The 14,252-nt window shown below is 49.6% G+C and overlaps 1 protein-coding gene across 1 annotated transcript in view; it reads right to left on the reverse strand.

Annotated features, from left to right (window-relative positions):
• POM121C (POM121 transmembrane nucleoporin C) overlaps positions 1 to 14,252 on the reverse strand; it is a 69,514-nt gene that overhangs the window by 2,114 nt on the left and 53,148 nt on the right. The window contains exons 8-14 of the mRNA NM_001099415.3: positions 7,463 to 7,554; positions 6,736 to 6,809; positions 6,175 to 6,296; positions 5,627 to 5,729; positions 5,150 to 5,326; positions 2,610 to 4,304; positions 421 to 543 (exon numbers count right to left, since the gene is read on the reverse strand). Coding sequence (NP_001092885.2) covers positions 421 to 543; positions 2,610 to 4,304; positions 5,150 to 5,326; positions 5,627 to 5,729; positions 6,175 to 6,296; positions 6,736 to 6,809; positions 7,463 to 7,554 — 2,386 coding nt within the window. The remainder of the gene's footprint in view (positions 1 to 420; positions 544 to 2,609; positions 4,305 to 5,149; positions 5,327 to 5,626; positions 5,730 to 6,174; positions 6,297 to 6,735; positions 6,810 to 7,462; positions 7,555 to 14,252) is intronic.

Genomic DNA, 14,252 nt, shown 5'->3' on the forward strand with positions numbered 1-14,252 from the left:
AGATTCAACAAGACCTCATCAGGGCAGCTGCTACCTGAGACTCTGGCTCTGGGTGCCCAAATCTCTGGAAGGCCAGGCCAGTAATAAAACACAGGGTGCCTCAATAGGGCTTTCCCCGCTGCGTCAGAAACACTGTACGGGAGGAGCCTCCTGAAATGCAAACTCCCAGAGTCTCAGAGCGAGGCCCACGAATCCATTTTTACCTGGCTTCCCATGGGAGGCAAACTTCCACCCCGGACAGCTCCTCTCTGATCTCTGCCATCCAACTCCCATCCCTGGGCTGTGCTGTACTCCTAACCCGAAATGTCTTTCCTGTGCTGAACCTGATCTTCACGGGGCCTCAGAGGGCCAGGAGCCTGCCACCCCACCCAACCTCTCCTCAGACAGACGAGCAGGGCCACAGGGTGGCTTGCTGCTTACCGAACGGTCCAACACCAACAAAGCCTTGGGCGGGTGCTGAAGATGCCCCAAAGGAGAGGCTGCTGCCCGATGTGCCCACTCCAGGCGCAGGGGTGTTCTGACCAAAGGTGGGGGTGGCGGTGCCTGGAATGAAGAGAACAGAGAGCTAGCCAGTGAGCAGAGGGCGGAGGCAGGCGAGGAGCCGGGCAGGAGCCTGTGCTCTGCAGGGCACTTCCCACGGGACCCTCAGCCCCACTTCTGCTTCTGGGGCACTCCTCCATCAGCAGCTGAGCCAGACAACCGAGTCTTCATGCCTGGTGCCCCAGCTCAGCCTGCTTCTCCCACCCGCTAATGGCCACGCCAGGGCAGAGAAAAAGCCCCCCTGCCCCGCAGCCACCTCGTGGGCCTCCTGACCATCGCTGCAGAGGGGAGTACTCTGGGGCCCCCGCCTCCTAGCGTACCTGGGTTGGCTACCTCCTCTGTTCAGGCCTTTTCCCCCTAGCCACCGTCCCCTCCCCTCTGAAGCCTGGTTTGTCCGTCCTGTGTCTTTTGTGATGCCCCGTGGTCCCCTCCCTTCCCCGGCCTTGCCCTGACTGGCTCTGGCTGCCTGCCCGATGCCCTCTCTGGCAGCCCCTCTGCAGGGATGGCTGCTCTCAGGGCTTGGCCTCCGGCCCGGACAAGGGGAAGCTCCCTGTGCTCCCACGCTGCTTCCACACAGTTTCTCTTCCTTCCCTAAATACCGTAACTCAGGTTCAAATCACTTTAATCTGCCATGTCCTCATGTCACCTGTCAACTGCCAGGTCACTCCCTGATTCACAGAGGACCCTTGGCTCACTGGCTTCCTCCCCATCACCACTCACGGTGACTTCGCCCTGTGGGGCTGACTGATGGTCCTCTCAGCCCCTCGGCCCTGCCACCCCCATGACCTCCTCTCCCCGACCCCTGCCACCACTCCTGCAGCCACACTGTCACCACAACTGCTCCGGCTCCCGAATCTCCTGCAGGCACCACCCCTCCTGCAGCTGACTTCACCCGCTCTCCACTCCTGCACCCCCTGAGCTGCATCGGGGCACTGACCCGCTGCCCCTCCTGCTGTGCTTGCTGGGGTCTCCACAGCCGGGTGGCACCAGCTGTCCGCTGACCTTAGATCTATACCCAGTGTCGCTGGGAAACACACGCCATGCTAACTGGCCTCACTTTAACTTCACAATCACAATTTTCCAGCCCACAAACTGCCTGGAAACTGATCACACTTTTTAATATGATGTTCCTTTCCCCCACTGTCCAAAATGACTATTTCAAAAGACCCCTTTTTTATACACTTTATCCCGACCTTCCCTCTCCCAGATTTTCTCTCCTACTTCACGAAGCAAACAGAAGCCATGGGATCTACATTCATCTTCCACACGGGAGGAACCATCACTGCATCCTTCTGCCTGATTCTGCAATGGTTTTCCTGAACACTTAAGACCCAAACACCCAACCCTGGCCACAAACAATCCTCGCCTCTTGGCCTCCTTCCACACCACTGCTTTAGCTCCTGCCCTCCTGCCATGCTTGTCTTTGTTCTGCTCTTCAACATACCAAACATGTTTCTGCCTCTGGGCCTTTGCATGCGCCATCCTGGGCCTGAAAGGCATGTCCACTTGTGCTGTGCCCACCCCCACCCCACCCCCATATTCAGCTTACGCTTGAGACAGTCTTGCTCTGTCACCTAGGCCAGAGTACAGTGTGGCATGATCTTCGCTCACTGCCACCTCCACCTCCTGGGTTGAAACATTCTTCTGCCTCAGCCTCCCGAGCAGCTGGGATTACAGGTGGGTACCACCATGCCCGGCTAATTTTTTGGTATTTTTAGTAGAGACAGGGTTTCGCCAAGTTGCCCAGGCTGGTCTTGAACTCCTGTCCTCAAGTGATCCACCCTCCTTGGCCTCCCAAAATATTGGGATTACAAGCATGAGCCACTGCGCCCAACCTTCAGCTTACAATTGTTAAGTACTCAGAAGGCCTTTGACCAGTTAAATCCACAATGGCTCCTCCAGTCATTACTACGTTAGCAAAACATGTATCATGCCCTGGCATCTCACTGAGTTCTATATTCAGTGCCTGTCTCTTCACTGCCACAGCATAAGCTCCCCGAGACCACAGGCTTCACAGGCACAGCTTTTCAGTGTCCGGCCCGGTAGCCCAAGTCCACGCCCCTCCTTACCTCCAAACACAGGTTTGCTCTCAGTTGTGCTGCCCACGTTGAAGGCAAACGGTGTGCTCTGGCCGGTGGTGCCCAGGGCGTTCTGACCTAAGCCCCCTGTGAAGGGGGTGGAGGTGGCTGTGCTCCCACTCTGTCCTGCTCCAAAGCTGAAAGCTCCGGTGGTGGCGCTGGAGCCTGGGGTGGCCACGTTGATCCCAAAGCTCCCACTGCCAGCGGGGGCTGCCGAACCCCCAAACGTGAAGGGTGATGGTGTTGTGCTGCCAAACACCGAGCTGCTGCTCCCGCTGCTGGCGGTCTGGGTGGTGGCTCCAAAGCCGGAGCTGGTGGCTGCACCGAAGGAGAAGACAGCAGTGGAGCCGCCAAAGGCGGGCTGTGAGCTGGCGGGAGCGCCGAAGGCGGAAGCCGTGGCTTTCAATCCAAACGCCGAGTGCGTGGCACCGCCAAAGGTAGGCTGGATGGGCGTAGGCACGTGCGCAGGCACGATCTTGATCGTGGACGCAGGTGCAGGTGTGGGTGCAGTAGCCGGGGCCGGGGCTGCAGAGTTTCCAAAAGTGAAAGAGCTGCCAAAGCTGGGGGTAAGGGCTGGCTTGGCGGCCCCCGGTGGCTGCCCCTCAGCGGCCCCAAATGCGGGCTGGGGGTTGGCTCCCGGATATGATGGGAGCGGGGACTTGGCGCTTGAGCCAAAGGGAATGTTGAACGTGGGGGTGCTCGTGTTACTGAACGTCAGAGTGGGCTGGCTGCTGGTGGCCGGGGCGGAGGTGGCGAGGGTGCTGCCAAAACCACTAAAGTCGGCAGCGCTGCTGCTGGTGGCCGTTGGCACGGCAGTGGGCAGGGACTGGCTGAAGGTGGTGACTGTGGTGGTTGTGGGCAAGGCAGGAGGTTTGCCAAACTGGAATATGGAGCCCATGGCCGGGGTGAAGCTGGCAGCAGAGGCCTGGGGCGCCCCGAAGAGGAAAGGCTGTGAGGCGGCAGTGGCGGTGCTGGTCGTGGTACTCACACTGCTGCTGCTCACACTGTTTATGCCAAAGCCAAACGCAGGCTTCGAAGCAGAGTCTGTGGATGGACTGGCAGAGGTGATGGGAGCCACAGCAGAGGTGGCGCTGGCCAGGCCAGTGAAGAGCGGGGCAGTTGTGGTGGGAGCAGTGGCGGGAGTAGTTGTCTGCTTGAAGAAGGGAGCAGGCAAGGGCACAGATGCAGGTGGCCCCATGCTGCTAAAGACAGGCTGGAAGGTCGGGGCTGTGGTGCTGGTGGTCGTGGGGAGGGAGGAGCTGGAGGGCGCTGTGGCTGAGACTGAAGGGCCAGGCGGTGTGAGGCCTTCCTTCTCACTCTTGGGTGGAGCCGTGAAAATGGGCTTGAACATGGGAGATGCTGAAGATGCAGCAGGGGCGGCAGGGCTGGAAGGTGAGGTGTTCTGTGTTCCAAACAGGAAGCTTTGCTTGGGGGCGGGGGACGGGGCAGATGTGGCTTGGGGTTTGGTAGCCGTCTCTGCCTGAAGGGTTGGAGGTGCCTTGGTGTCAGTGGCTGGTACCATGGATGGAGCAGGGATCAGCCCCAGCAAAGTGGTCGGGGGTTTGGAGTCAAAGGAGGGGCTGGGGAGCAGCCCTGGCGGCCCTGACTGTGATAAACCCAGCGGGGGTAGGAGGCTGGGTGTCTTTGGAGGTGAGAGGGCCTCAGTGGTTGCTGCTCCAGCAGATTCTGGAAGAAGAATAGAAAATGTGAAATTGGAATAAACACTTCAAAGATGATGGTATTCAGTATTTCAGCGTCCTCCCCACGCCTACCACAGAGCCTGGGATCCAAGAGTCAGTCAATAAACTCAGCTAAGTCTACACTACAGGCCTGTACAGTAAATCAAGGAAGTGTTCATTATTTCCACCTCACAGATCATCAGACAGAAGGGGATAAAATGGGGCCTAAATGGGGGCCTAATGTGTAGAGACTAAGACAGTCCAATTGTCTGAACTCTGAAGTTCACGTATGAATCTAGATATACTTTATTTGCCTACTAAGCTCACCTGCCAGGCGCTAAGAGCACACAACTATGAATGGGGAAGTCTCTGCCCTTGAGCAGGGAGGGTGCGTACGAACCCCAGGTTACCGTCTGATAAAGAGGTGTGCGCGCGCAGTGCCGTGAAGGCCTGGGCCGGGAACACCAGCAGCCCTCAAAGTGCTGGAGGGAAAGGAAGCAGTGTTGTTCTGGACCAGTAGTTCTGACAGGCAAGGATATCCTGACCACGCCACCACATTCACACTTCAGAGGTGCTGCACCGGGAAGATCATTCTCATCTGACAAATGAGGAAGGCGAGGCTCAGGGCAGCTAAGCCAGGCTTCAGATCCTGAGCGTCGCAGCACCCCTTCTCTAACACTTCCTGATGTGGGCTCCGGCGCTGTTAAACGTAGGCCCGCTCCGGTGTGCTGAGCCAGGGTGCGTTCGGCCTGCAGAGCAATCTCCAGCGACTGACAGGCACGACGCCCTTATTCCAACCCAAGCCGGGGATGCTGCTCAGAAGGCTGGATCCACGGCCCCACTCCAGCTCACCTGGGCAGGGTGGCAGGCTCGGGGGAGTCTGCATCTTCTTCAAGCTCTCTAACAGTGGGTTGGTGCTTGGGGCCAGGAGGGAGGTGGGTGGGGAGGCAGTTGCAGCAGCAGGCAGGGTAAAGGTAAATGAAGGCTGAGTGGTAGGTGGGGTCTCAGTGACAGAGTTCGAGGCAGCATCTAAGAAAGAAAGAAAGGTGAAGCAGTCCTGGCTTGTCTGGGACTTCTTTCCACATGCCTGTCGGAGAGCAGGCTCTCAGCACAGCTCATGGAGGAATGTCTGCCCTAAATTGCAGTAGTCCCTGCTGTCCAGTTCCCGTGAAGACCAACACGGATATCTCAGGTGAGAAAGACCACAAGAAAACATGGAACTCTACTTCGGATTTTCCCAGAGAAACCCATTTTTCCAAACACCAAAATAAAACCAAAGAAAACAGACACCTGAAACCTCTCGAGAGTGCAACGATCTGTGCTCCTTACCACTCTTGTCCTCCAAGGCCTGGTTGAACCACTGTAATGAAGCCTTCTTCTCTAAGTCTAGGTCCTCGGCAGTGATCGAATAGCCAAGCTGGGGAGGTGGAGGCTACCAAAGAGAAAAAGAAGAAGTCAGGCCAATCAGAAAAAACGGGAAGGCTGGGCGTGGTGGCTAACGCCGGTAATCTCAGCACTCTGGGAGGCCAAGCCAGCTGGATCACTTGAGGTCAGGAGTTTGAGGCTGGCCTGGCCAACATGGTGAAACCCCATCTCTACTAAAAATACAAAAAATTAGTCAGGCGTGGTAGCAAGCGCCTGTAATCCCAGCTACTTGGGAGGCTGAGGCAGGAGAATTGCTTGAACTCAGGAGGCAGAGGTTACGGTTAGCCAAAATCGAGCCACTGAACTCCAGCCTGGGTGACAGAGGGATGTTGTCTCAAAAAACAAAAACAAAAATAAGTTAGAAAAAAAAACAGAAGAAACTTGTCCTTAGCGTTCCTAAGACTTAGGAGAGCTAAGCCGGGGAGGGCAGGAGTAGATGGACAAGACCATACCAAGGTCAGCTGTTCCCCTCGCCGAGAAGGCAGCAGCTGAACTTTCCGCTTACGCTGCCCAGAGCTGCCAGGTGTAGACTGAGAATTCGAGTTTTGTTTCTTCCTTGGGGTTGTATCTGCAGCTAAAGAAAGAAATCAAGACTCGTTTGCTTCCTTCCCTCTTCCAGAAATGGATGGTTGTGTCTACCCACTTCGCATTTCACACTGAGTTTTCAATGATGGTATCTCTGAAAAGATTCAATCTTCTATGGTTTGGTTGCTTGGATGGTGTTTGTAAGATTAAGGCGCGCACACAAACCGCTTACTGTGCAGTAATTACTGGGATCACCCACAGGTGACTCAAACTGAGCTTACCTCTATCCAATCGTTAGCCCCCATCTGTAGCCTTTCTCCCTCATCAGACTATAAACTTCTGAAGGAGAGGAAATCTCTCTCTTTGTATCTAACATGCCTTAGACATAGCAATGCTCAAGACCTTTTTTCAATAGGTATTAATCTCTACATCCTCCACAAATACCTCCACCACCAACAGCAGCCCCTCCTCCTGGCTCAGCAACCTACCCTTTTCTCCCTGGGACTCCTTGTCTGCTGCCAATGGAGTTGAAGAACTGGAATGATGACACAGCTCTTCTTCTCTGTTGGGAAAAAAGGAACAATTTAGTCTAGAAAGACTTCTTGGCTGAAGTATTAAATAATTTCTCACACCCTCCTAACTACCAAGTGGCCAACATCTAAAACAACCATCATTTAAGATCTCAGTATGCCAGGATAAAAAAAGTCAACAGGAAATTCCAACAGAATGAAGGGAGGCTGTTCACAGAGGCCATGAAGACAGTTTTTGTCTTAAAACAAGCACAAAACAATAATCTTCAAACCTTACTTACAACCTACCAAGTCCCTGGGAGTTCTAGACACAGATGTGATCCCTGAGGGAGTGGCATTCCAGCCAACTGCAAGCACCTAGGGGATCAGCTCGAGTCAAGAACCTGAAGGCGACTGCCCGCTGACTTGACTCTCTCTGCTCTCCACTCTGCATGGCCTCTGTGCTTGCACCCGATCCCTCATGCTGGAGTGGGAGGCGACAGCCAGAGGCCACTGGAGTCAGTATCCAAGACTGTAGGGATGATAGTTGTTCAGGTGGGTGCTGCATTGTCCCTCTCAGGGACTTAGTTTCTTTGATTCTCCAAGTCACAGCAGCACAAAGCCTAAGAGCCAGGTTCGTTTCCCACCTTTCCTCACCCCCTTCTGTCCACGTAGCAAATGAAAACTGCAGGAGAATGCCGAATACCTTATTTTCTTTGCTGGCCTCTCCGGTGTCTGGGAGCGGGATGAGGCTGGGCTAGAGAAGGGTGATGAACTGGGGCCATTTCTCTTCCACAGCTAAAAATCAAGAGGGACATGACTGAGCCTGCTGATAACTTAGCATCTGACCCTCAACATGACAAAGTCTCTTTTTAAGTGACTAAAAAAATATTTTTTATGGTTAAATGGTTAGTCATGCCTGTAATCCCAGCATGCTGGGAGGCCAAGGTGGGAGGATTGCTTGAGCCCAGGAGTTTGAGACCAGCCTGGGTAACATAGCGAGACCCCCGTCTCTACAAAAAATTGAAAAATCAGTTGGGTGTGGTGGTTTGCATCTGTGGTCCCAACTACTCAGGAGGCTGCAGTGAGCTGAGATTGCCCCACTGCACTCCAGCCTGGGTGACAGAGTGAGACCCTGTCTCAAAAAAAAAAAAAAAAAAAAAAAAATAGAAAATGAAAATGAAAAAAATTTGTTTGTGAAGAAAGACCCCTGAAAAGAAAGTCAACTGCCAGTATTAATTATGAAAGCAAAAAAAGAAAAGTCTATAAAAGTAATGGAATGTGAATAAAGGTAGAAGGGATGGACACACTTTTGCATATATTAGCCTCAGTAATGAAGAGCCAGGACACATTCAAACCTGTGCCAGACTGTCTACGGAAAGGATACAAGTAAATTAAAGAAGACAACCCAGTAAACTAATTTAGTCTTGCTTCCATTAAATTTTCGATTTTTCATTTAGTAACTTCATTTTAAAAATACGCTGTCATGGCCAGGCGTGGTGGCTCACGCCTGTAATCCCAGCACTTTGGGAGGCCAAGGGGGGTGGATCACGAGGTCAGGAGATGGAGACCATCTTGGCTAACACAGTGAAATCCCATCTCTACTAAAAATACAAAAAAATACAAAAAATTAGCTGGGCGTGGTGGCGGGTGCTTGTAGTCCCAGCTACTCGGGAGGCTGAGGCAGGAGAATGGCGTAAACCTGGGGGGCGGAGCTTGAAGTGAGCCAAGATCGTGCCACTGCACTCCAGCCTGGGTGACAGAGTGAGACTCTGTCTCAAAAAGAAACAAAAAACAAAAACAAAAACAAAAAAAGCACTGTCATAATATTTATGACTTTTGCAACAACGATGGCATTTATCATCATGTGATGATTATCCATACATCTGCCTCTTCCACCAGGTGAGTTCTTGACAGCAAAGATGGTGTTTTCATCTCTGCTTCCTCCACAGACCAGCAGCAAAGTAGATGGCACAGAGCGGACACTGCAAATAGTCTCGTAAGTGCTGAGCCTAATTACAAAGCCACTAAACTGTCACCTCAGACCGTCTTTCCTACTTGAAAAGCTGCTAGTGATTTCTTACCCAGTACCAGCTACATCATATAAGTACAAACAGGAAGCCAACAAGCTTAATAAGTACAAACAGGAAGCCAAGCTTAATAAGAGTTCAAAAAGGGAAAAGAGGAAGCTTCAGACAAGTGGTAAGCAGCAGAACAGTTCAGTGAGGCCATCATCAGGAAGCCGGGCCCAGGAGGAGCTTGAGAAGACTGCTCACGGCAATAACAGTTGAAGTTACGCTCAAACAGCAAGAAAGGCCAGAGCACAATGGTTTAAAAAACATGGGATTACAGGCATATAAAAGAGCAGAATACAAAAACTCATCAAAGGGATCCAAGGATTGAATATATAAGCGGCATTTTCAATCACTTCAGATCCCTGACACTACCTCGCTGGTTCTCACACGACGGCTCATCAGTCACCTGTGGAACTTTTTTTTTTTTTGAGACGGAGCCTTGCTCTGTCACCAGGCTGGAGTGCAGTGGCACGATCTCACCTCACTGCAACCTCCGCCTCCCTGGTTCAAGCGATTCTCCTGCCTCAGCCTCCTGAGTAGCTGGGACTACAGGAGCATGCCACCACAGCCGGCTAATTTTTGTATCTTTAGTAGAGATGGGGTTTCACCATGTTGGCCAGGATGGTCTTGATCTCTTGACCTCGTGATCTGCCCGCCTTGGCCTCCCAAAGCACTAGGATTACAGGTGTGAGCCACCACGCTTAGCCACCTGTGGAACTTTAAAAGCACATAGATGGCCAAGTGCAGTGGCTCATGCCTGTAATCCTAGCACTTTGGGAGACTGAGGCAGGAGAACTGCTTGAGCCCAGGAGTTTCAGACCAGCCTGGGCAACACAGAAAGACCCTATCTGTAGTTAAAGTAATAAAATTAAAACAAAACCATAAACCTTGCATTTTTGTTCACAATGTGCTCCAGACACTGAGGGATACACATCACTGAGCAAGCAAGGGTCAGAAATGCCAAAGGGGCCGGATGAGGTGGCTCATGCCTGTAATCCCAGCACTTCAGGAGGCTGAGGCAGGAGGATCACCTGAGGTCAGGAGTTCGAGAACAGTGTGGCCAACATGGTGAAACCTCATCTCTACTAGAAATACAAAAATTAGCCAGGTGTGGTGGTGCATGCCTGTAATCCCAACACTTTGGGAGGCCAAGGTGGGAGGATCACTTGAGCCCAAGAGTTTTGAGACCAGCCTAGGCAATATAGTGAGGTCTCTTCAAGGAAAAAAAAAAAAAAAAGCCAAAGGTGACTGTAATGATTAGCTAGGACTGGAAGACAACTGGTCAACTGGTTTAACAATTAGGGGAAAAAAGTTATTACTCCTCTACTTCATTGACTGTACGTACACACTCATTTCAGATATAACAAGACAAGGATGTTTATTATTATGTCTATTCAACTCAAAGTCCTAGCCAAGTGCAGTAAGACATAAACAGAATAAGACTGCAGAGGGAAGGAAAAACTCATTATCATAGACATGAGTGTATGTACTAAAATCCTAAAGAACATACAGATTTAGCAAACTTTCTGAATACAAAATCAGTTGTATTTCTAGACACCAGCACAGCCAATCACATTTTGAAGACACTATTTATAATAGCATCAAAACCATATACCTAGGGCCAGGCACTGTGGCTCATGCCTATAATCCCAGCACTCTGGGAAGCAGAGGCAGGTGGATCACTTGAGGTCAGGAGTTTGAGACCAGCCTGGCCAACAAGGTGAAATCCTGTCTCTACTAAAACTCCAAAATTAGCCAGGTGTGGTGGCGCATGCCTGTAATCTCGGCTACTTGGAACGCTGAGGCAGGAGAATCACTTGAACCCGGGAGGTGGAGGGTGCAGTGAGCCGAGATTGTGCCACTGCACTCCAGCCTGGGCGACAGAGCGAGACTCCATCTCACAAAACAAAACAAAAACCAGATACCTAGAAATAAATCTAATACAAGAGAAGTAAAACTTCTACAGAGATGAATTAGAGATAATGTAAATAAATGAAAGAGGTGGGACATGGTGGTTCATGCCTATAATTCCAGCACTCAGAGAGGCCAAGGTGGGAAGACTGCTTGAGCTCAAAAGTTTGAGACCAGCCTAGGCAACACAGTGAGACCTTGTCTCTACTATAAGTTTTTTAAAATTAGCTAGGTGTGGTGATGCATGCCTGTACTCAAAAGGCTGAGGCAGGAGGATTGCTTGAGCCTGGGATTTCAAGGCAGTAGTGAGCTATGATCATGCCACTGCACTCCAGCCTGGGCCACAGAGCAAGACCCCTTGTCTCAAAAGTTAAATAAAGAAATGAATGACATTCCATGTTCATAGATTAGAAGTAAACAAGGTCAATATTATAACAATGTTAACTCCATCCAAAGTAATCAGTAGATGAAAGGCAATCCCAATCAGTATCTCAAAACTTTTTTTTGTGTGTGTGGAAATTGACAAGTTGATCTAAAAATTATATGAAAATGCAAAAGGCCAAGAAACAAGACAGTCCTGAAAAGAAATGAGAAAGGGGGACGACTGACTCTATCAAGACTTAAAGTATAAGGGTAGGGGTAAAACAAAGACTGGTACAAGGGTAGTAAGAAAAATAGTCCAATGGAACAAAAGAAAGTCTAGAAATGGACCCACATATATACGGACACTTAAATTAGACAAAGGCAGTGCTGCAGAGAAATAAGGATGGTCCTTTCAATAAATGTTGCTGAGAGAAATGGGTATTTCTATAGTAAAAAACAAACAAACAAACAAAAAAAACTAATTTTGATCCCAACCTCACACCACACACAAAAATCAATTTCAGGTGGATTATGGATTTACATATGAAAATATTAATAAAATAATAAAGCTTCTAGAAGGTAGCATAGAAGAAAATTATCATGACCTTAGGTTGGACAGGCAAAGATTTCCTAAATACTACACAAACTATGCTAACTACAAGGAAGTAGAATGGCAAGAGCAGGACACTTTTGTTGTAACACATACATGACAGAGAGCTTGTATCTAGAATATATAAAAAGCATATTCAAATCTCTGAGAAAAAGACAACTTAGTAGAAAAGAGCCAAGAGGCCAGGCGCGGTGGCTCATGCCTGTAATCCCAGAACTTTGGGAGACTGAGGTGGGCAGATCATGAGGTCAGGAGATTGAGACCATCCTGGCTAACATGGTGAAACCCTGTCTTTACTAAAAATACAAAAAATTAGCTGGGTGTGGTGGCAGGTGCCCGCAGTCCCAGCTACTCGGGAGGCTGAGGCAGGAGAATGGCGTGAACCCGGGAGGCGGAGCTTGCAGTGAGCCCAGATCGCATCACTGCACTCCAGCCTGGTGACAGAGCGAGACTCTGTCTCAAAAAAAAAAAAAAAAAAAAAAAAAAAGAGCCAAGAAATTTGAACAGGCATCTCACAAAAGAGGCTATACAAATAGCCAATAAACAGTTGGTATTTCAGTAATCAGGGAAATGCAAATTAAAACCACAATGAAATATTACTTCACACTTAGCAGAATGGCTAAAGAGACTGGCAATACCAAGTGTTGGTGAGGATATGGAACAACATAAATAAAAATCTCATATACTGCTGGTAAGAATATAAACCGGGCTGGGTGCAGTGGCTCACGCCTGTAATCCCAGCACTTTGGGAGGCCAAGGCAGTTGGATCACCTGAGGTTGGGAGTTTGAGACCAGCCTGACCAACATGCAGAAACCCCATCTCCACTAAAAATACAAAATTTGCTGGGCGTGGTGGTGCATGCGTGTGGTCCCAGCTACTCGGGAGGCTGAGGCAGAAGAATCACTTGAACCCAGGAGGTGGAGGTTGCCATGAGCCAAGATTGTGCCATTGCATTCCAGCCTGGGCAACAAGAGTGAAACTCCGTCTCAAAAAAAAAAAAAAAAAAAAAAAAAGAATATAAACTGAAACACTCCCTTTAATACATTGCTTAGCAGCTGGGCGCAGTGGCTCATGCCTGTAATCCCAGCATTTTGGAAGGCTAAAGTGGGCAGGTTACTTAAGGTCAGGAGTTTGAGACCAGCCTGGCCAACATGGTAAAACTCCATCTCTATTAAAAGTTTTAAAATGTAGCTCAGTGTGGTGGTGCATGCCTGTAATCTCAGCTATTTGGGAGGCTGAGGCATGAGAATCACTTGAACCCAGGAGGCAGAGGTTGCAGTGAGTGCCAATACGGTGCCACTGCACTGTAGCTGTAATCCCAGCACTTTGGGAGGCAGAGGCCTCACCTGAGGTTAGGAGTTCGAGACCAGACTGACCAATATAGTGAAACCTTGTCTCTACTAAAAATACAAAAATTTGTTGGGCACAGTGGCATGCGCCTGCACCTATAGTCCCAGCTACTAGGGAGGCTGAGGCAGCAGAATAGCTGAACCCAGGAGGTGGAGGTTGCAGTGAGCCGAGATCGCGCCACTACACTCCAGCCTGGGTGACAGAGCGAGAATCTGTCTCAAAAAAAAAAAAAAAAAAAAGGTTAGCAATATCTACTAAAAGTGAACGTACAAATACTTTATGTATACCGAAAGACTTAGACAATTATCTATAGCAATATTATGTATAATAGCTCCAAACTGGAAACCCAAATGTCCAATGGCAGAATGGATAAATTAACTGTGGTTATATTCCCAGTGCGGAACAGTATATACATCAATGACAATGAATTACCTACTGCTATGTGCATGAATGTGGACACATCTCACAAGTAAAATGTTAAGTCAAACACCAAAGAATGCATACTCTATTTCCATCTATATAAAATTGAAAAACAGGGTACACTATAAAAGGTGCTAATAAGAAGGAAAGGAGAAGCATGATGGGGAGTGGGCAGGAGGGAGGTTTCTGGTGATGAAAATGTTTTATTACTTGACCTGAGTGGTGGTTACAATTTGTTTTTCTGTGTATTATACTCTAGTAAAAAAGGCCATCTAAAGAATGAGGCAAATTACACGATACAAAATGCTATGCAAGATGTAATGGATAAAAGAGAAAAGAAGATGCTTTTTAAAAAGCAAATATGCTGTGACCCTGCTATGTAGAACAGTCAAAAAATTCTGGGTATTATCTGTGTTTGCACACAGTAAAAATGTTAACAATGGGTACCTACTGGATGGAGACTCGGATCGCTGGGACAGAGGAATTTTACTTTTTTACTTAAAAAAGCCAAAACCAGGAAAGGTAATATTTGCACGTTACCGATTCTAACAATAAGAATGTACAGTAGACTGGGCACGGTGGCTCACAGCTGTAATCCCAGCACTTTGGGAGGCCAGGGCGGGTGGAATCACGAGGTGAAGAGTTCAAGACCAGCATGGCCAACATGATGAAACCCTGTCTCTACTAAAAATACAAAAAATTAGCTGGGCGTGGTGGCCAGAGCCTGTAATCCCAACTACTTGGGAGGCTGAGGCAAGAGAATCGC

The sequence above is a fragment of the Homo sapiens genome, chromosome 7, assembly GCF_000001405.40.
Source record: "Homo sapiens chromosome 7, GRCh38.p14 Primary Assembly".
NCBI classification, from domain to species: Eukaryota; Metazoa; Chordata; class Mammalia; order Primates; family Hominidae; genus Homo; species Homo sapiens.